The sequence below is a fragment of the Homo sapiens genome, chromosome 5 (genome assembly GCF_000001405.40).
Source record: "Homo sapiens chromosome 5, GRCh38.p14 Primary Assembly".
Taxonomy (NCBI): domain Eukaryota; kingdom Metazoa; phylum Chordata; class Mammalia; order Primates; family Hominidae; genus Homo; species Homo sapiens.
The window spans coordinates 30,435,941-30,458,693 of record NC_000005.10 but is presented as its reverse complement, the minus strand read 5'-3'; positions in this window follow the sequence as shown (position 1 = coordinate 30,458,693).

Sequence of the window (22,753 nt, the reverse complement as noted above, 5' to 3'; positions counted from 1 at the left end):
ATCAAAAGAATCAGAAAGGACACATGGAATGAAACATAAGAAAAACATTGCTGGAAAAACATAAAGTTAGAAAGTTAGTACAAATAAAATGCTACTAAAAAGGCTGAGACAGATGACCATCCAAATAGAAAAGTGGAGTGTAGTCGGACTCAAGCAGAACTACAGAAATGATGTTTTAAGCGGCTGGGCGTGGTGGCTCACGCCTGTAATCCCAGCACTTTGTGAGGCCGAGGCGGGCGGATCACGAGGTCAGGAGATTGAGACCATCCTGGCTAACACGGCGAAACCCTGTCTCTACTAAAAATACAAAAAAAAAAAAAAAAAAAAAAAAAAAAAAATTAGCCTGGCGTGGTGGCAGGCACCTGTAGTCCCAGCTACTTGGGAGGCTGAGGCAGGAGAATGGTGTGAACCCGGGAGGCAGAGCTTGCAGTGAGCAGAGATATCGCGCCACTGCACTCCAGCTTGGGCGACAGAGCGAGACTCAGTCTCAAAAAAAAAAAAAAAAAAAAGAAAAAAAAAAAGAAAAAGAAATGATGTTTTAAAACAATAACTCACTCTTAGGTTGCAACATGAGTTAAAAGAGGTCAAATAATGTTTTGTTCCTCTGTGAAGTGCATTCTCCAAAGGGAATTAATTTTGAAATCTTTATGTAGTAGGTCAGGAAAAGTTTTAAATAATTAAATTATAAACAAGTGTTTAAAAAGTCTTTTTTAATCTTCTGATACAATGAGTTGATTTTTGTTTAAACTGTGAGCCAAACCTTTTTGTCCATCCTTTTGCCCTCTTGAAGTTGCCATTAATGGAGAAATTTTTGAAAACAAAAATATAGAAGAAAACACAAGTAAAATATTTTTTCTATGAATAATCATTCGATAATTTCTTTGTTCCATGGTTTTATTCTTATTCAAAACTCAATGAGGAAACCTGAATTAATTTTTTGCCTCTTCCTTTTAAATTTATGTCACACAACATATTAATTAAACAAGAAGATAGATAGAATCAGGGTAGCTGATCTCAGTCAGAACGTGCTTAAAATGTGAAGTTAATTGTAGGGTATATGTGCATATGTTGTGTAAGAAGTTGAACAGTCACGACCATTCCAAGCATAACCCATTCCCTGACAATTTCTTATCCCAAGACACAGATGAAAAGTCAGAAGTCATAGGTCAGTCTTCTTAAGATAGATGCCGAGATGGAGACTTACAAGCAGGTAGTTATTAGGGAAGCACTGTCAAAAAACACCGCCTGTAAGAGTATATATCATCCATGCAAAACCCTGGCCAGCAAAGAAAAGCCACCACTGAGCTTCTCAACAGTGCTTCTGTCCCCCTTATCAGCTCATTCTTTATCACATTGGAAACAAAGGATTCCTCTGACTCCCCTCAACGAACATAGCTAGTGATTGTTTTGGCCACATATAGTCACTGGCTATAGACTGCACTCAAGGAGGGTGACAACCTGGGGAAATAGCAATAGCCAGGGAGGGACACAGGTGTGAGGTGTCAACAAACAACATTTCTAGCCTGCAGCGGGGGTAATGAGTGCTTAGTACCCAGAAGTGGGCTTTGGGTGAAAGACCATAGTGTGAGCAACACGAATCCTGAACTCACTTCTTCAGGTACATTTACTATTACCACATCATCCATCATATGTGAATATGTGCACTGTGTATATGATGCAACATCTGTGTGTATTTGTGTTTGTGTACACTGGAGAGGGAAAAAGTGAGGGTCATTTCTGCTGTTGACCAATTTCCAGGATGGTTTTGAAGGCATTCACAGATAATTTCTCATGATATAAGTTTCTTGAGGAGACATAATTTACCATATAATATTTGTGTTTTTTTTTAACTACCTAGAGATTTGTTAAAGAATAGGCAATAACTCTATATGCAGAAGACAGAAACTGGACCCCTTCCTTACGCCTTATACAAAAATTAACTAAAGATGGATTAAAGACTTAAATGTTAGACCTAAAACCATAGAAACCCTAGAAGAAAACCTAGGCAATACCATTCAGGACATAGGCATGGGCAAGGACTTCATGACTAAAACACCGAAAGCAATTGCAACAAAAGCCAAAATTGACAAATGGGATCCAATTAAACTAAAGAGCTTCTGCACAGCAAAGAAACTATCATTAGAGTGACCAAGCAACCTACAGAATGGGAGAAAGTTTTTGTAATCCATCCATCTGACAAAGGTATATCCAGAAGCTACAAGGAGCTTAAACAAATTTACAAGAAAAAAAACAAACAAACCACCCCATCAAAAAACATGCAAAGGACATGAAGAGATACTTCTCAAAAGAAGGCATTTATGCGGCCAAGAAACATGAAAAAAAGCTCATCATCACTGGTCATTAGAAAAATGCAAATCAAAACCACAATGAGATACCATCTCATGATCATTAAAAAGTCAGGAAACAATAGATGCTGGAGTGAATGTCGAGAAATAGGAATGCTTTTACACTGTTGCTGGGAGTGTAAATTAGTTCAACCATTGTGGAAGACAGTGTGGTGATTCCTCAAGGATCTAAAACCAGAAATACCATTTTACCCGGCAATCCCATTACTGGATAAATCATTCTACACATGCACACGTATGTTTATTGCAGCACTATTTATGATAGCAAAGACTTGGAATCAACCCAAACGCCCATCAATGATAGACTGGATAAACAAATTGTGACACATATACACCATGGAATACTATGCAGCCATAAAAGCAATGAGTTCATGAACCTTGCAGGAACAGGGATGAAGCTGGAAACCAACATTCTCAGCAAACTAACACAGGAACAGAAAACCAAACACCACATGTTCTCACTCATAAGTGGGAGTTGAACAATGAGAACACATGGACACAGGGAGAGGAACATCACAACCTTGGCCTGTCAGGGCGTTGGGGGCAAGGGGAGGGAAAGCATTAGGACAAATACCTAATGCATGTGGGGCTTAAAACCCAGATGATGGGTTGATAGGTGCAGCAAATCACATGGCACATTATACCTATGTAACAAATCTGCACGTTTAGCACATGTATCCCGGAACTTAAAGTCAAATTATATGTATATATGCAAAACATTTTCTGATATTCTGAATAAATAGCAATGCACATTTTTCATTGGGCACATTATTGTAAATTGCTGTGGGCCTTTTTTCTTATTTTTTTTCCTTCTTTTCTTTTTTCCTTCCTTTTTTTCATTCAATCTTTCTTTCCTTTCCATTTTTTTCTCTTCCTTGTTCTTTCCCTCTACACACCTTTGTTTCCTTTCTCACTCTCTCATTTAATAAGCCAGACATAAGGTTGTATTATGGAAATTTTTTATGTTCAGATTTTTAGTTTAATTTATTTTAACTTACATTTTTGATATTTTATTGCAGGATTGCATCTAATTTTGAAAAACTTACAAAACATGTAACTGTTCAATCATGATGGAAAAAATAAAGATCTTAAATTTTAAAAGCAACTTTTTAAAGAATAGAGTGGAGAAAAAAACTAGTAGCTTTCAGGTGAAGACCTCTGGCAGATAATTCCTTTACCCCATGGTGAGTGATGTTGATAGTATGTTAATATCATGTGCCCTGATAGAGTACAATGATGAGGGCTTTCATGTTTGTATTCTTCTTCCTGAAAACACATACTCCCATTCTAATCACACACACACACAAAATCAATGGAACCCAAATTGAGAATTGCACTGAAGAAATATGTGATGAGGACTCTTTAATATTGTCCTCTTGACCACCCCACTCGATGACCCTTAATGTCATGGGGAAAAAAAGAAAACAAAAAGTACAAATACAAAGAAATGGTTGCGGATTGGAGGAGACTAAAAAAACTGTAATGATTAAATTTAATATGGTTTCCTGGATTGGCCTCTGGAACACAACAAGGACATTATTGTAAAAACTGAAAACTGGTAATATCCAAATAAAGTCTGCGATTTAGTTACTGCTAATATAGTGTTAATTTCTTACTGTTAACAATGGTATCATGGCTCCATAAGATGGTAATACTAGGAAACTGCTAACATTAGGGAACTTTTATATTTGATGACTTTGATGGGGTATCAGCTAAAGTGGTAAATAATTAGATATTCATAGAACTTTTTTTTTCTAGACTTACTAGACATACTAGGCTTTCTAGACTTACTAGACTTACTTGTGCCAGTCAGGGTTCAACCAGAGAAGCAGCAATAATAGTAGACTGATAGATGCTAGATGACAGACTTATTACAGGAAGTCGGATAAAGCAATTGGTGGGGCTAGTGAAGCAATCTCTGCAGGGCTGTCTCCACATGTAAGGCTGGAGCACAAAGCCCTCAGTCCATTAGCCAGGAAGGGAATGCCATGAGCCAGCTAGAACCCAGTGAACACAAGCTGGGAACCCCACCATCACTAGCATCAATGCAAACAGCATGAGGTAGAAGCCTGGGAGGGTAAGTTTTCATCTATGTCAGTCTTGTTGCCTCTTCCTTGTAGAGCTGGACATATGTGCTTCTAGTCGAGGTGTCAGAGAAAATGAAGAAAGAGTGAGTGGGAAGGGAGAGAGAATTGCCGGCTCCACTGATGCTTTATGCCAATGAGGTGAAACCAGCAACAAGGTGTTTGTGCCAGAAAATGGCTGACACCTTCCTTCTAGTAGTTTCCTTGACAAGATTATTATGCTTTAGCCAATAGACTATTTTTAAAAATTCTATGCTATCTCTCTGGAACCTTGTTTCATATAGCAAATGTTCAGCTTTCTTAATATGCTGCATTTGTATCTAAATATATGCCTCATTTTCTAGTTTTAGTCTAAAAAATAGGATAATGTAAGTCACCTAATTACTCTAGCACATTTGTATTTTGCTTTTCATTAGATGGAATGAAGATGTTAATAGAGCCCTTGATATTTCTACTCATTTTATTAGGTTTTAAAAGTATATTTATAAACATAAATATCTAACAGAATGTGTTGAATATTTATACATTGCTTTGCTGCCAAAGTCCATATACATATACCCATGGATTTTGAGATAATTTTCTGAATTGATGGATTTATCCTTACAACACAAGGACTCTTTCTGCATTACTAGCCTTTTAGTTACTAATAGCTGTAAGCTATTAAGCATGAGGAATTAACTCTCGGATGAATTTTGAACACAAAGAAATGCTGGTAGTGCTTAAGATGTATTGTGAAATGTTTTGATGATATACCATTAAATTTATTCCAAAGTATATTCCTAAAGTTGCCAGTGGAAATCTAAGACTGCTTTTTTTCCCTTTTAATCATGAAAGTTGCCCAAATGGTTGCCAAAATCATGGTTGCCAAAAATGCAGCCATCAGCATTCCTTGGTGAAGGCAGCTTAGTGCTGTCAACCATCTTATCTCCCCTGTTGTATGGTTGATTTTCTTCTTGTATCAGTGAATACAAACATTAGAACATAGAAGTTCTCCAGCTGCTTCTGTGATATTTGGAAAGTATCTGCTAAAGAAATTAGGCCCATATGCATAAGAGAACATACAAATTATACATATTGCAAAGTAATATAATTATAATAGATGAAAATAAAATGATGAAGGAATAAAGTCCAATTAAAGGAAAAATAATTTAAAAAGACTAATATTTTAGTAACTTTAGAAACAGCAGATTAGATCTTGGGAGCCGAACCAAAAATATAATACCTACCTTAGTTCTTAAATCAGGTTATTTTCCACAAGTATATCATTAGCTCATGTTACAGTGTGATCATGTGCATACATTGACTTCTTAAACCATACATAAAAACCTCAGGTTATTTTATTGTGATCTTTATACAAAGAACCAGAAGACATTATTTTAGGCATAAAATGACAAAGAGAGGAATAGCAGCTATAATAGTTATGAAATCCTAAAACTTAACAGTATATAAATAGGTTTTAACTTTGCTTCTAAAGCAAAGGGAACTTCATAAAAATTTCACAAATACTGTATCGCTGTATTGAAGCAGAAAGTTATTTTTACATAGACAGTTGAACAAAAGAGAATAGATGAGGATAAAAACCTGAAATTTTATAACAATATCTTATATACAGCTATATGAATGTGCACCTTATAGTCTCGCCTTCTTTAAAAGCCAGGATCATAATGATGAACAATGAACTTTCTCTGCCTTTTATGAGCTCACAGACTAGTGGGGTAGCATACATACATAGATAATTATAAACTTGGTTTTACTGTCTTTTTTTTTTTTTTTTTTTTTTTTGAGACAGGGTCTCACTCTCTTGCCCATGCTGGAGGGCAGTCACACAATCTTGGCTCACTGCAGCCTTGACCTCATGGGCTCAAGCAATCCTCCTGCCTTGTCAGCCTTCCAAGTAGCTGGGACTACAGGTGTGAGCCACCATACCTGGCTAACTTGTGTATTTTTTGGAGAGACAGGGTTTCACCCTGTTGCCCAGACTGGTCTTGAACTCCTGAGCCTTGGCCTCCCAAAGCGCTAGGATTATAGGCATGAGCCACCACGCCCTACCTGTCCTCTCCTGTCCTCTCTTAAACTCAGCAGTGAGTGCATGGGTGATTCTACAAGTATTTGTTAAACCACCCATACACACACACACACACACACACACACACACACACACACTGTTTAATATATATGATATATTTCATAGTACAAACTAATATTGAAAATGCAGATTCTTCCAGAACAGAGCCATGATAGCTAAGATCTCCATCTTTTAATTTGGGAAGAACTACAAATTAGAAAAAAACAACAAACAACAAACAAACTCCTACAGCATACTGTGTTCACAGTTATTTACCTATGTCTGCTTAACCTCACTGTATGCTAAATTACACATAACTAAATGTCACCCTTATTTTCCATGCACTTATTAATATAATTTGTAATTGTCAAAATAACTAGGTTTGGACTTAGCAAAATGTACTTGCGTGTGAAGTCAGACAGTTATTTGAATTGACTGTGTTTTTTTATCCTTAAAATATCTAGGTGATAGCAACTATTACACTGCTCCCTCCTCCCTTGCCCTTCCATCCCTCACTAAAACTACACAGCTTTTTGTCCTCAAATACTTTTCTCAAAGATTCCTACCACACCCTCTTCCCCTAGTGTCTAACTCAAAGTTCCAGGGAGACTCTTCTAGCCCTTAAACATTGAGTCCAAACTCCAACTTACCATCACCCTATCACATTACCATTTTAATTTCTTATCAGAGAAGTTAGCACAATCTGAAATTATTTTGCGGTTTATGTATTAATCCTTTATTTCTCCATGGGGCCCCTAAACTCTGCAAGAGTGAATAACTTGCCTGTGTTGCTTTTTACTACATTACCAGCTCCTAGTCTAGTGCCTGGTACAAAATGGGGCCATGAATACTCAATGAATGGAAGAGTAAAGATACGCAACACATACTCAACATTTAACTTGACACAACAAAATTAAATACATGTCATTGTCCTTCCTGGCAAATCCATTCTCTCCGATTCCAGGTTAATCTTCTTAAAATATGATTTTTTTTACATTACTTTATTCCAAACAAATGTTTTGATAGGAAAAACTTAAAACTTTTTATTATGAAAGGTTTTCCAACATGTAAATCTGAATTTCCATCCTCACTTTATCTTTGGTCATGTTCCCTAAGGCTGTGCTCTCCAGCAAATTAATCTCTACCTTTCTGCTTCCCACAGTCCCTCTACCTGAAATGCTACTTTCTTATCTCTACTACCTTATAACTCGTTTAATTCCAGCCTTAATCTGAGCATGGGAAAATTTTCCTTAGGGGAAGGACCGCTAGAAGATAAGTGGTGTATAGAAGTTTCTCTCCTCTCAAGATGAAGCCTAGAATTTGTCCTGAAATAAACAAATGAAGAGTAAAATTAATGTCATCAATTTGAAGCTTAAAAATGTCTAAAGATATTATCATAATGCACAATTAAAATTTTATAATTTCCTCTAAAAGCGTGCCCTAATTATCTGGTACCCTTGGTTGTATTCTCATTCTAAATGCCTTCCACTGTCCTCTGAACTTTTCCCAACCCTTACTCCACAGCAATTTCTATCCACTCTGCAATCTTAAAGCATTATTGCTTACAACAATTGTTTTGACAATTTATTTCTCTATAACTGCTTTCGAGGAATATCCTCTTCTTTTGTATATTCTAAATTAGGCCTTGTACATAATAAATGCTTAATGATTTGGGGTTAATTAGATGAATTCTATGCCACACCATGGAATGCCAATTCAATTTTGTAACGTGTCTTTACAAGATAGATACTGATCCCATTAACAGAATTGCTTATCTGGCAATTAGCATCATTAAGATAAATTAATGAATCAGATGTCCATTTCTTTAGTCTGTAAAACTGGCTTTAGTGATTAGACACATTTTTACCAAATTAACAACACTCATCAAATTATTATTCCTGTGTTTTTATTCATCCAAAACATATTTATGTAAAAAAAAAAGATTAGATCAGTCTAGGTGATATTGAACTTGTTTCCACTATTAAATTCACTTAAATAAAACCTTCTGTAAATTAATTCCAAAGAAAATATTTCCTAGAGATAAAGTAAACTCCTGCTTATATTAGTATGCTATGACTTTTTATTAATTTCTTTGCTAATTTAATTTGATCAGTAACCACTGGGATTAAACCAATATAAAAATACAGATATATCAACTTGAATATTAATGTTATGTTTTGATTAAAAAACCGAAAATATTTACAAGGAATTTTTTGGCATGAATAATGGACAAAGCTTATCCTGAATTATTGATGGAGATTCATAGCTTCTCTCTACCATAGAAAGTCATAACTAACTGAAGAAAATTTTTCTCCCATTACTGTTTTCAAATGTGCCATGTTGGAGTTTCTTTCCCTTGCCACTAAACATTTTAAGCAGTTTCCATGATATTTTGGTTAATTTTATCATTAAGAGGAAACCTAATTTTGCCTAACAATTGTTAACAATCTAATTATATTCATTGAAAACGCATGTTGTATCTGATTCTACATAGATTTTTCTCCTAATTTCAGTACTGACGGGCTCACAAATTCCTCTTGAGAAGATGAATAAACTTGTGTTTTGTGACCTTTTGGCTTTTTCCTTTGTGTCTGCCCATAATCTTTTAGGCCTTCTGATGGGGAAGGTTTGGACCAGAGAAAAAGAGGCAAATATCAATTTGCATGCTATTTCTATTAATATTTCTTTCTTAGCTAGTGTGGATGGGAGGGTATGCTCCATTTTGTGCCAAGCCTACAATCAGCTCTATTACAGATCGCCTTTGTTCATAGTTACACGGCCACTCAGGAGCACAGCAATGCCCGATTCTCAGCCTTCTGTCATTGGTGATACAGATTTCAATTAATTTCCTGACATTTCCCTTCATGCTATGGCCGTTCTTAGTGGTCCATTTCATAATAGGCAACCTCTCCTCTCTGGCAGATGTAACATGTGATTGTGGTGTTGTTAGCAGTATTATTATTGTTAGGCTGGTTTTATATAATGAATTGAGGCATATTTTATCTTTTTCTGTTTTCTGGAATACTTTCTAAAAAATCAAGATGATGTCTTGAAAGTTTGGTGGAATGTACTTGGAAAAAACAACCTGAATCTTGTGTGTCCTTGTTGAGAAGATACAAATATAAATGTAAAGTATCGCTTTTATTTTGTTAAAAGTCAGAGCTGTGCTTGAGCTTTATGTTTTCCTTGACACCATTTTGGTGTCTAACTCTGTTATGTGAGAAATATTTTATTTCTACTTTAATTCTGTGATGTTGTCTTATCTTTCATTACTATTATTTTAAAGCCAAAGCTGGGCTCCTAAAGCAATCATCTTTAAGGGTATTTTTCCTGAATAAGTTTTAAATAAGTTTGAAATTCTTTTGTATGTATGCACAACTTCTGAGGCTTGTATTTCTCTATTCCTGAGAACATTTTCATCATGATTTCGTATTTGAATAACAGTTTGGCTGGCTATAAAATTCTAGTTTCAAAGATATTTTCCTCCCATACTTTGAAAATACTGTCTTCTTGTACCAAATGTTGCTGTGTAAACATACATTATCGGCTGGGTGCAGTGGCTCACGCCTGTAATCCCAGCACTTTGGGAGCCTGAGACGGGCAGATCACCTGAGGTCGGGAGTTCGAGACCAGGCTGACCAACATGTGGAAATCCCGTCTCTAGTAAAAATACAAAATTAGCCGGGCGTGGCACATGCCTGTAATCCCAGCTACACGGAAGGCTGAGGCAAGAAAATCTCTTGAACCCAGGAGACGGAGGTTGCAGTTAGCTGGGATCGCACCGTTGCACTCCAGCCTGGGCAACAAGAGCAAAATTCCATCTCAAAAATATATATATATATATATATATATATTTATATATACATTATCATTCTATGTACAATCTTTTTTTCTCTCTGAGAGCTTCTAGAATTTTCTTTCTCTTTTATATTCTCAACTTTAAATAAAATTGCAAGTGAGGTTTTTTCATTGCTCCCCTTTATTATTTATGGGTGCTCTTAGTTTTATTTGGTACATCTGAAAAATTTACCTCTATTATTATTTTTCAAATATTTATCATTTTCATTTGTATTTTTACTGTTTCTGGGACTTATATTACCTGACGTTTAGTATTTCAACTCTCTTCTCTTTTTTATTATACTCACTATATGTTTATTCTTCTCTTCTTTTGGGAGTGATTTTCTCAATCTTGTTTCATAATGAACTAATTTATTCCTCAGATGTATTCATGCTATTATCTACTTCAGCTGTTAACCCCTAAGCACTACAACTTACATAAGGTGCACAAGTAAAACTAGTTTATTTGAGGAGTTTGGAGGAAAATGGTCAACAGAATGCATATAGTTCTCTAAACTCCTGCCATCACACTGAAAGGACTCCTTGGACCTGCTTTTTGTTTGTTTGTTTTCTATGAACTGTTATACTCCAGAAAGACATATTAGTAGAAAGAGTAGAGAGAGATCATGCAGGATATTTGGAAATGTCTAAAATTTACAATCTGTGTTACCATCTTGCCGTTCTGCAAAACATTCTTTTCTTGGTTTCAGCTGACTGCTGAGTCAACATCTTCCAAGAACGGTTGCGACTGAGTTACAAACATCACTCAGAGATAGAGTGGCTTGTCTTTCCACACTATCTGTTATGTTCTTTGTTTCAACTATTATATTCCTTTCAGCTAAATCTTTTTTAAATTTCTCTTTTTGTTTCATTTTGTTAAAATCATCTCAGTTTTTAGTACATTAGATAAATTATACTGAATCCTTGATCCATCTGTTCTAATATGTCTGTGTCAGATGACATGCATCATTTATTCTTTTTCATTTGATAGAGTGAGCTCCTCAAATTCAGATTATTTAGGCCTGTGTGTTTACATTTCCACTGAGGATATTGAGACCCATGCTCAGTATTCAATAATGCGTATAAGAAAAGGTCCCAAGGTCAGACCTCTATCTGAATCAGCTTCAATAAACTAAAGGTAAGTAGCAATGAGTCCTACAATAGAAATCTACAGATGATAGCAGTACAATTAATCTATTCTCAAACCAAGGAGACAACTCATTCCTTCAAGGCTTTCCCCTTCACTTGCAGTGAGAAGCAGACCCAAGGGAAGGACTCCACTCCTTTGATTGTTCTTCCCCAGCCCAGGATATTACTACGACTAGTGTTTGTAAAGCAAATTCGAGAAGCCGGTCAGTTCCCACACATCTTTTTCTTCCAGCAACTAACCCACAAAATTTTAAATATTATTTCTGTGTACACCCACCACAGAGGTCTGATTTGCCATAGGTGTACAATTAGACAGTGACAATTTGAAGGTAAGGTAGGCTTAGATATAAAAAAGAATATCACAAAATCTATATTATCTTACTAGAATGATACCTGTCTGCCTCTTGCCACAAGCTAAAGCAACTACCACTAAGACATACCTGTTCAAAAGACAAACATTTTCCCCAAGAGTTTTTCCTCCCTTGATGTTTTAGTCTAATTTCTCTAGGGTTGGTTTGGGGAAGATGCCAACAGGTTTTGCTAGATCAGCATAATGATAGAAACTGGTTGTTCTATAATTTCTACGTAAAGAGATTCATTGAGGTTTACTTTCAGTCAATTTTTATGAATATTTTATGTCATCTAAAACTATTTACTTGGTGTCATCAGGGTTTAAAGAGTGATCTATATGTTTACTAGAACAATGCATTATATTATTCAAAAACTTTATCTCTGTTATTATCTAAACTCAAAGTAGTCAGTTAAGTTTCCCTACTGTAGACTTTACTGAGTATCCCTTGAACTTCCTTGATTTTTGCTTTATATTTTCATATTTTGTTTTAATTTGGTAAAAAAATTTATAGTGCTTGTATCTTTTGTGGTTTGATCTGTTTTGTTATCATTTTAAATGTTAATTTCTGAATTCATATTTATCTAATATATTGTGATTCAAACTACGTTATAAACTTAGTCAATAACTGTCTTGGTTTTTAAATTATTTCTGATACCTATATTTTTGTGTGGTTAATTGTTTACTTGCTTTTATCTGTGTTTAATTTCTTCCCTTTGTGGTCATTTGAATAAATTATACTATGATTTTAGTAGAGTGGGTTATACTTATATTTTTCATTTACTTAAAATTTATTGTTTATCAAGTTTAAAAGTTAAACAAGTGTTCTAGATTTTCTAGTACAATAGCATCAAACTAAATTATCATATATCAATACATCTTCCTAAAACTCAAAAATGAAATCAAGAGAAAATAAAATCACCTGTAGACCATGATTTCATGTTAGTAGGAGACAGGGACTTTCATTTTATTTATGTAACTTTTATTTACATATAAATGGGAAAACCATATCTGAGACTTACAAAAATGCGTACAGAGCCCACGTTATACTCCCATGCATGCTAAAGACAACAGGGAAGAGAGCATAGTATATTAAGAAGATCCTAGAGGTGAAAATGAGTATCTCACCAATGCCGTTTTATTCCCAGAAGAAGAAGACTTTTCCATGAATGGAAATACTGCAAGCAGGTCTGAATTCTAATGAATCAAAGTGTTAAGTACTGGTAATTAGAAATTTGGAGAGTCTGCAAGACCACAGGTGGTAGTCTTAGAAAGATGCCATTTCATGATGACAAACACATTTTGGAGAGGAGAAATGTTTTCTTGTAGGCTTAGTGCTAAAATAGAGAAAGCAATGTTGAATGACCATAATAAAACAAGATAGAATAAAAGAAGCAGAAGGTGAGATGCAAAAAAGAAAAGCACTATACATTGAAGAAATAGTGCTTTGTTGTAGCAACAGAAGTGTCTGCTCTTAAACTACAAAAGCTTTCATAAGCTCCCCTGCTACTGCTAGTTTAAAAATCTTAAAAATGAATATAAATACCACCAGAAAATTCATTAACAGCACAGTTGTTATAAGAAAAATGAAAATAAGAATAAAAAATCATTAGCAGAAAATACACAAACATGCACATATGCACGTACATACAATATAAAACCATGAAGCAAATTATAATAACAAAACAAGAAAATTTACATACGAAAGCAAATGCAGATACAGGGTAATTTAAACCAAGCCAAGTAAATTTTAGGAAAGATACTTAAGAATAAGAAAAAGATTATTTCAGAAAATAAGAACAAATTGCAAAGTATGAATGCATATGATGAGAATTCAATAAGAAAAACAAAGAATTGCATAAAAAGATTCAAGAAAATGACACAGGAAAAGAAGTATTTAAAAAATAGAAATAAAGTGATAGATGTTGAAGGCAGAAATGATTCAACATAAATATGATTGGACATTCTGAAAAATAGAAATAATCATAATGTAAAAAGAACTAATTTTCATCTTTTTATTTTTATGAATACACAGTAGGTGTATATATTTATGGGGCACATGAAATATTTTGATACAGACATACAATGTGCAATGTTTGCAACAGGGTAAATGCAGTGTCCATCATCCCAAGAATTTATAATTCCTTTGTGTTACAAGCATTCCAATTATATTCTTTTAGTTATTTTTAAATGTACAATAAATTATTTTTGGCTATAGTCACCCTGTTGTGCTATGAAATAGTAGATCTTACTCATTCTATCGAAATATATTTTTGTACCCATTAACCCCCTCCACCCACTATCCTTCCCAGCCTCTGGTACCCATCATTCTACTCTTTATTTCCATGACTTCAATTATTTTAATTTTTAGCTCCCACAAATGAATGACAACATGCAAATTTGTCTTTCAGTGCCTGGCTTATTTCCCTTAACATAATGATCTCTAGTTCCATCCTGGATACTGAAAATGACAGGATCTCCTTTTTATGGCTTTATATACTCCATTGTGTATATGCACCATATTTTCCTTATTCATTCATCTGTTGATGGGCACTTAGGTTGCTTCCACATATTGGCTACTGTGAATAGTGCTGCAATAAACGTGGGAATGCAGAAATTTCTTCGATATACTGAGTTACCTTCTTTGGGGTAGATACCTAGCAGTGGGATTGCTGGATCATATGGCAGCTCTAGTTTCAGATTTTGAGGGACCTGTCTACTGTTCTTGATAGTAGCATTATTAATTTACACTCCCACCAACAGGGTAAAAGCATTCCCTTTTCTCCACATTTTTGTCAGAATTCATTATTGCCTGCTTTTTGGATAAAAGCCATTTTTACTGGGGTAAGATGATATTTCATTTTAGTTTTGATTTGCGTTTCTCTGATGATCAATGATGTTGAACATCTTTTTTATATACCTGTTTTCCATTAGTATGTTTTCATCTAAGATATGTCTGTTCAGATCTTTTGCCCATTTTTAAATCAGACTATTAATTTTTTCCTATTGAGTTGTTTGAGCTGTTTACATGTTCTGGTTATTAATACATTGCTAGATTAATAGTTTGCAAATATTTTCTTCCATTCTGTAGTTGTTTCTTCACTTTGTTATATTCTTCGTTATGCAGAAGCTTCTTAACTTGATGTGTTCCCATTTGTTCATGTTTACTTTGGTTGCCCATGCTTGTGGGGTATTATCCAATAAATTTTTGCCCAAACCAATGTCCTGGAGAGTTTCCTCAATGTTGTCTTTCAGTGGTCATAGGTTGAGATCTTAGATTTAAGCCTTTAATTCATTTTGATTTGATTTTTCTATATGGTGAGAGATAAGGGTCTAGTTTTATTCTTCTGCATATGGATATCCAGTTTTCCAGAACCGTTTCCTGGAAAAATTGTCCTTTTTCCAATGTATGTTCTTGGCACCTTTGCCAATTTATTTTTGGGTTCTCTACTCTGTTCCATTGGTCTATGTGTCTGTTTTTATGCTGTGCTGTTTGTTTTCCTATAACTATATAGTATAATTAGAAGTCAGGTAATGTGATTCCTCCAGTTTTGTTCTTTTTTTCTCAGGATGACTTTGGCTATTCTGAATCTTTTGTAGTTCCATATAAATATTTGATTTTTTTTTTTTTTGGCCAGACGTGGTGGCTCACACCTGTAATCCCAGCACTTTGAGAATTCGAGGTGGGAGGATCACCTGAGGCTGGAAGTTCGAGACCAGCCTGGCCAACATGGAGAAATCCCATTTCTCCAAAAAATACAAAAAAATTAGCCGGGAGTAGTGGTGCATGCCTGTAATCCCAGTTACTCAGGAGGCTGAGGCACGAGAATCACTTGAACCCGGGAGGCGGAGGTTGCAGTGAGCCGAGATTGTGCTGTTGCACTCTAGCCTGGGCAACAAGAGCAAAACTCCATGTCAAAAAAAAGAAAGTAATAGAATTTTTTTTCTATTTCCATAAGAATGTCATTTCCATTTTTTTTGTTGTCCTCTTCAATTTCTTTCATTTGTATTTTATAGTTGTCAGTATAGAGATCTTTCACTTCTTTGGTTATGTTAATTCCCATGTATTTTATTTTATTTGTGGCCATTATAAATTTGATTACTTTTTAAGTTTTTTTTTCAGATTGCTCATTGTTGGCATATAGAAATGCTACACACTTTTGTACGTTGATTTTATATTCTACAAATTTACTGAATTTGTTTATCAGTGCTAATAGTGTTTTTGGTGGAGTCTTTAGGGTTTTCTAAATATAAGATCATGTCATCTGAAAATAAGGATAATTTAACTTTATCATTTCCAATGTGGTTCTTCATTTTTTTCTCTTGTTAAATTGTTCTAGTTAAGACTTCCAGTACTATGTTGAGCAATGAAAGTGGGCATCCTTGTATTGTTTCAGTGCTTAGAGGAAAGGCTTTCTTTTTACCCCATTCAGTATGATACTAGGTGTGCATATGTTGTATCTGGCTTTTATTGTGTTGAGGTATGTTCCTTCTGTACCCAGTTTTGTGAAGTTTTTTAATCATAAAGGGATACTTAATTTTTATCAAATACTTCTTTAGCATCAGTTGAAATGATCACATGATTTTTGTCCTTCATTCCATTGATACGATATACCATGTTGATGGATTTGTGTAAAACCATACTTTCATTCCTGAGATAAATCCCACTTGGTCATGAGAAATGATCTTTTTAATGTGTTGTTGAATTCAGTTTGCTAGTATTTTCCTGAAGATTTTTGCATCAGTTACATCAGGTATATTGGCCTGTAGTTTTCTTTTTTTAATTATGTCTTTGTCTGATTTTGGTATCAGGATAATACTGGACTTGTAGAATGAATCTGGAAGTATTCCCTCCTCCTCTGTTTTTTGGAGTAGTTTTAGTAGAGTTGGTATCTTCTCTAAATGTTTGGTGGAATTCAGCACTGAAGCCATCAAGTTTCTTTGTTGATTTTCTCTTTGGATGATATGTCCAGTGCTGAAAGTGTGGTGTAGAAGTCTCCAGCTAATAGTGTAGCTCTAAAACTGTTTGCTTATATGTCTGTGTGTTTCTATGTTGTATGTGTATATATTTACAATTATTATATATTATATATAATTATTATATATTATATAACAAATATTATATTCTTTTGCTGAATTGACTCCTTTATCATTATATAATGACCTATTTTTCTCTGTTTATAGTTTTTGTCTCGAAATATATTTTGTCTGATATAAGTATAGCTACTCCTGCTGTTTTTTGGTTTCCATTTGCATGGAATACCTTTTTCCATCCCTTTATTTTCAGTGTATGTATGTCTTTATAGTTGAAGTGTGTTTCTTGTAGGCAACAGACTGTTGGGTCTTGTGTTTAATTCATTGAGTCACTCTATGTCTTTTGACTGGAGAATTTAGCCCATTTACATTCAATATTATTATTAATAAGTGAGGACTTACTCTTGCCATTTTGTTATTTTGTTGTTGTTGTTTTGTGTTTTTCTCTTCCTCCATTCTTTCCTTCCTGTCTTCCTTTTTTTTTTTTTTTTTTTTTTTTTTTTTTTTAATATGTAGTCTTGCTCTGTTGCCCAAGCTGGAGTGCAGTTGTGTGATCTTGGCTCACTGCAACCTCTGCCTCCCAGGTTCAAGCAATTCTACTGCCTCAGCTTCCCAAGTAGCTGGGATTACTGGCGCATGTCACCATGAATGGCTAATTTTTGCATTTTTAGTGGAGATGGAGTTTCACTGTGTTGGCCAGGCTGGTCTTGAACTCCTGACCTCAAGTGATCCACCCACTCTTCCCCACCAAGTGCTTGGATTACAGGCATGAACCACCACACCTGGCCCTGTCTTCCTTTAAATGAAAGTAATTTTCTCTGGTGCTATGTTTAATTTTAGTTAAATCTGCTTAGTGTCTTATAACCTTCTTATAGTTGAGTATTGATATCTTTTTCTAGGTTTGGTACATTCTATTCTCTATTATCATCCCTTTGAATAAACTTTCTACCCCAATATCCCTTTTCCTTCTCTTTAAGGCCAATAACTCTTACATTTACCCTTTTAAGTTTATTTTCTATATTTTGCAGGCATTCTTTATTCTTTTTCATTCTTCTTTCTTTTGTCTCCTATAACTGTGTATTTTCAAATAGCCTGTTTTCAAGTTTACTAATTCTTTCTTCTGCTTGACCAATTCTGCTATAGAGACTCTGATGTATTCTTTAGTGTCAAATGAATTTTTCAGCTCCAGAATTTCTGCTTAATTTTTAAAAATTACTTCGATCTCTTTGTTAAGCTTATCTGATACGATTCTAAATTCCTTCTCTGTGTTATCTTGAATTTTGTTGAGCGCCCTCAAAACAGCTATTTTGAATTATCAGTCTAAAAGATCAGACATCTCTGTCACTCTGGGATTGGTCAGTGGTTTCTTATTTAGTTTGTTTGGTGAGGTCATGTTTTCATGGATGCTTTTGATGCTTGTGGATATTTGTAGATGTCTGGGCATTGAAGAGTTGGTATTTACTGCAGTGTTTGCAGTCTGGGCTTGTTTGTGCCTATCCTTCTTGGAAAGACTTTCCAAGTATTTAAGGGTATTATGTATTGTGATCTAAATCTTTGATTACTGGAGCCATATCTGCATCAAGGAGCACCCCAAGCCCAGTAATGATGTGGCTCTTGAAGCCTCATGGGGGTACCAACTTGGTTGTCTTGGGTAAGATCCAGAAGAATTACCTGAATTACCAGGCAGAGACTCTTGTTTTCTTCCCTTCCCTTAAACAGATTACTCTTTCCATGCTGAGATACCTGGAGGTGGGTTAGGGACAACACAGGCACCCCTGTGGTCACCATCACTGGGACTGCAGTGGGTCAGACTCAAAGACAGCATAGCACTGAGTCTCACCCAAGGAACACGGTGCCCACTGCCTGGCTACTGTCAGTGTTCATTCAAGGCCCAAGGACTATGCAGTCAGCAGATGGTAAAGCCAGCCAGACTTATGTCTTTCCCTTGGGGATGGTGAGCTCCCCCTGGTCCAGGCAGGTCCAGAAATGCTGTCCAGGAGCCAAGACCCACAGTTGGGGACCTTAGGAATCTACCTGGTGCTCTATTCTATTGTGGCTGAGCTGGCAACCAAGTGACTTTGTCACTCTTCCCTCTTCCTTCTTCACGCAGACAGAATCTCTCCCTGTGGCCACCACTGCCCCAGACCTGTTGTGAGCACTGCCTGGCTACCACCAGTGTTCTTCAATGTCCAAGGGCTTCTCAGTCAGCTTTTGGTGAATGCTCTTAGGCATTGGTTATCCCTTCAGGGAAGTGGGCTCCCTTCTGGCACAGGGCAGATCTAGAAATGCCTCCCAGGAGCCAAGCCCTGGAATTAGGGACTCCAGGAGACAAGCCCTGCAATTAGGGACCCCAGGAGCCTGCTTCATGTTCTACCCTACTGTGGGCAAGCTGATGCCCAAGCTGGAAGACAAAGTTCTCTTTACTCTTCCTTCTTCTTTCTTCAACAAGGAGTCTTTCCCTGTATGCACACATGGCTGGGAGTATGCTCTGTCACACCTAAAGCCAGCACAGCCTTGTGTCTCACCCAAGGCCTGCACTGAGTGCTGCCTGGCTACCATTGCAGATTATTCACAGTCCTAGGGCTCTTTAGTCAGCAGGTGATGAATTCTGCCAGGACTGGATCCTTCCATTCAAGGCAGTGGGTTTCCTTCTGGCCCATGGTGTGTCTAGAAATGTCATCAAGAAGCTAGAGGCTGGAATGCTGGCCTCAACACACTGCCTGGTGCCCTAAGTTTCAGTCACCTCTGTCTAGGTCTGGTCTAAAGACTTTCTCTGTGGGCACAAGCTGAGTTCTTCTCTGTATTGCTTTCTGCTGTGAGAGGGCAGTATTGAGTTCCAATGCAGTCTCACAAGCTCTCTCTCCCAAAACACACAGATTATCTCCCTGCACTATACAGCTGCTGTGGGGGGATGGTGAAGGATGGCACTGGGAATTCAAGACAGTCTTTTCCTTCCGTCTTCAGTTTCTCTTTCCCTGTAATGATGTTAAAACCAGGCACTGTGATTACTCACTTGATTTTTGGTTCTTATCAAGGTGCTTTCTTGTGTGGATAGTTGTTCAATTTTGTGTTCCTACGGTGGGGAGAGGAGATGTTTGGAGGGTTCTGTTCTTCCATCTTGCTCCACCTATCAATAGTACTAACGTTTAACATTAAATGAATTTCTAACTATGTTTCAGAAATAAAAAAAAAATAAGAAACTTCATTTTGAATGGAGCTAGTTCTTTTTTATTTTTTATTTTTATTTTTATTTTTATTTTTTTTACAGTCTCACTGTGATGTCCCAGCTAGATACAGTGGCATGGCCTTTTGCTTACTACAACCTCTGCCTCCTGGGTTCAAGTGATTCTCCTGCCTCAGCCACTTGAGCAGCTGGGATTACACGTGTGCATCACCTGTCTGGCTAATTTTTGTATTTTCGGTAGAGACATGGTTTCATCATGTTGTCCAGGCTGGAATTAATGGAGGTAGTACTTAACTAGAAAATTTAGCTAGAAAGATCAATTCTGAAAAATAATTTTTCTATCGTTTAACTTTGACATGAGGAAAAAAGTCCTTTTGGGTGTTCACGAAAAACATCAAAGAAAAGAAAAAGTCAAAAGAAACAAAAAATTAAAAAGCCAAACAAGTTTAGTATAAAATGTCTTAATGATATCCTTTATAATTTATAAGTTTAGAGTAACAATTTTTTAAAAATTCAAGACAAACATTTTAAGAATCAAGAATATGGAAAACTATTTTCAACATGCAATAATTTGGTGGATATTATACTCATGAGCTGTTCAGGTAAAATTTATTATAGATGATTTATTATAGAAGAGACTTTATTTTAACCAAAGGAAAATTGGGAAAATAATTTTAAAGGATTGGTGGTGAGAAATTCTTTTCACAGGCATACACATGTTAATTCTATGATTATAACAAAGATTGAAATGAAGATGAAAGAGTAATCTGTGAAAATTCTATAATTTGAAAAAGTAAACATTACGATATATTTTTAACTAGGGAAAGATGCTATTAAAAAGAGAAATTTAATTGTAATTTCACTAGAACAATCTGTCTCAACTTTTATGTAATAAACTTGTGAGTTATTTTTTAGTTGCTATGAACCCCCAGGTTGAAGGTCACATGAACTGAGCATGTCCAGATGAGCCAAGTACATAACCACTTAGGTGAAACTCAAGTGCTCAAACCAAGGAGTGGGGACTGAATGAAGAGGTGGATACTGCATGGCAGGATCTAATAGTCAATCAGATCAAGTCCTTTCTTGTGTTGCTCTAGGGACTGATCCTGTTAGATTATGTATCCTGGCATCACCTCATTGCAAGATCCAATCAGCTCACACCCCATAACCTTGCTTATAAATCCCAATTCATTCTTCAGCTTGGGGAGACAGATTTGAGAGTTTCCTCTTGTCTATGTGCCAGTCAACTTGCAATAAATCTTCTCTATTCTCAAAATCTAGTGCCATGGTATTTGCTTCTATGCGCAAATATTGCTTGGTAACAATATTGCTTGGTAACAATATTAGCCTATTGATACTATTTAGATGCTATCAATACAATATCAGCATATTGATAATATTTGGATACTAAGTAGGAATAAAATAGGAATAAATAGGAATATTAATTAATATATCAAACCAAATATTATAAGTCTAAAAAATGAAAACAAAGGGATGAAAGACATAAAAGATCATATATAAACTAGTTATAAAAAGTGTGTATAGATTGAACTCAACTAAAGCTGAGACTCAGTAATTTATAAAGAAAAGAAGTTTAATTGGCTCACAGTTCCACAAGCTGTACAGGAGGCGTGACTGGGGAGGCCTCAGGGAAATCACAGTTACGGCAGACGGAAAGGGGAAGCTGCCACATGTTCAAATGGCAGAGCAGGAAAGAGAGAGAGCAAAAGGGGAAGTGCTACACAGTTTCAAACAACCAGATCTCATGAGAACTCCATCATGAGACAGCACTAGGAGGATGTGCTAAACCATTAGAAACCATCTCATGATCCAGTCACTTCCTACCAGGCTGCACCTCCAACACTCAGGATCAGGATCCCAATTCAACATGAGATTTGGGTGGCAACACAAACCAAACCATATCATTCTGCTCCTGGCCCCTCTCAAATCTCATATCCCTCTGACATTTCAAAACACGATCATGCCTTCCCAACAGTCCCCCAGAGTATTAACTCATTCTAGAATTAACTCAGAAGTCCAAGTCCAAAGCCTCATCGGAGGCAAAGCAAGACCCTTTCACCTATGTGCCTATAAAATTAAAAAAAAAAAAAAAAACAAGTTAGGTACCTCCAAGATACAATGGGAGTACAGGCATTGGGTAAATTCTTCCATTCCAAGAGGGAGAAATTGGCCACTCCCCTGAGCCAATCACCTCCCACCAGGCTCTACCTCCAACACTCAGGATCACAATTCAACGTGAGATTTGGGTCAGGACACAGAGCCAAACCATATCAATGACCTTAGGGGAATATTTATATGTCATCAGAGAATTGTCAGCAAATAGGAGAAAGATGCACACAGGATTGTATTTCCGGATTTTAGAAAGGAAGAGCAATTGCTGCTAAGTCTCTAAATGGGAAGGTGTTAGAGCAGTACTGGCAGGTTTTGAAAAAAAATAATTCTGAATGCATAATTATGAATGACTCAGTGAGGAAGAATTTTGGAATGTACTGAAATATAATCACCTTAAATGTTTGGTGGGGAAAAGCAAGGCATAAATCATAACTATGTAAAGAGACTGATCTGATTTTACAAACAACAACAACAACAACACCTCTGGGTTAAGCTCAGACTGAATTTTTTTGTATAAAACCTGAAAAAGATATAATCAAGAATCAGTCACAT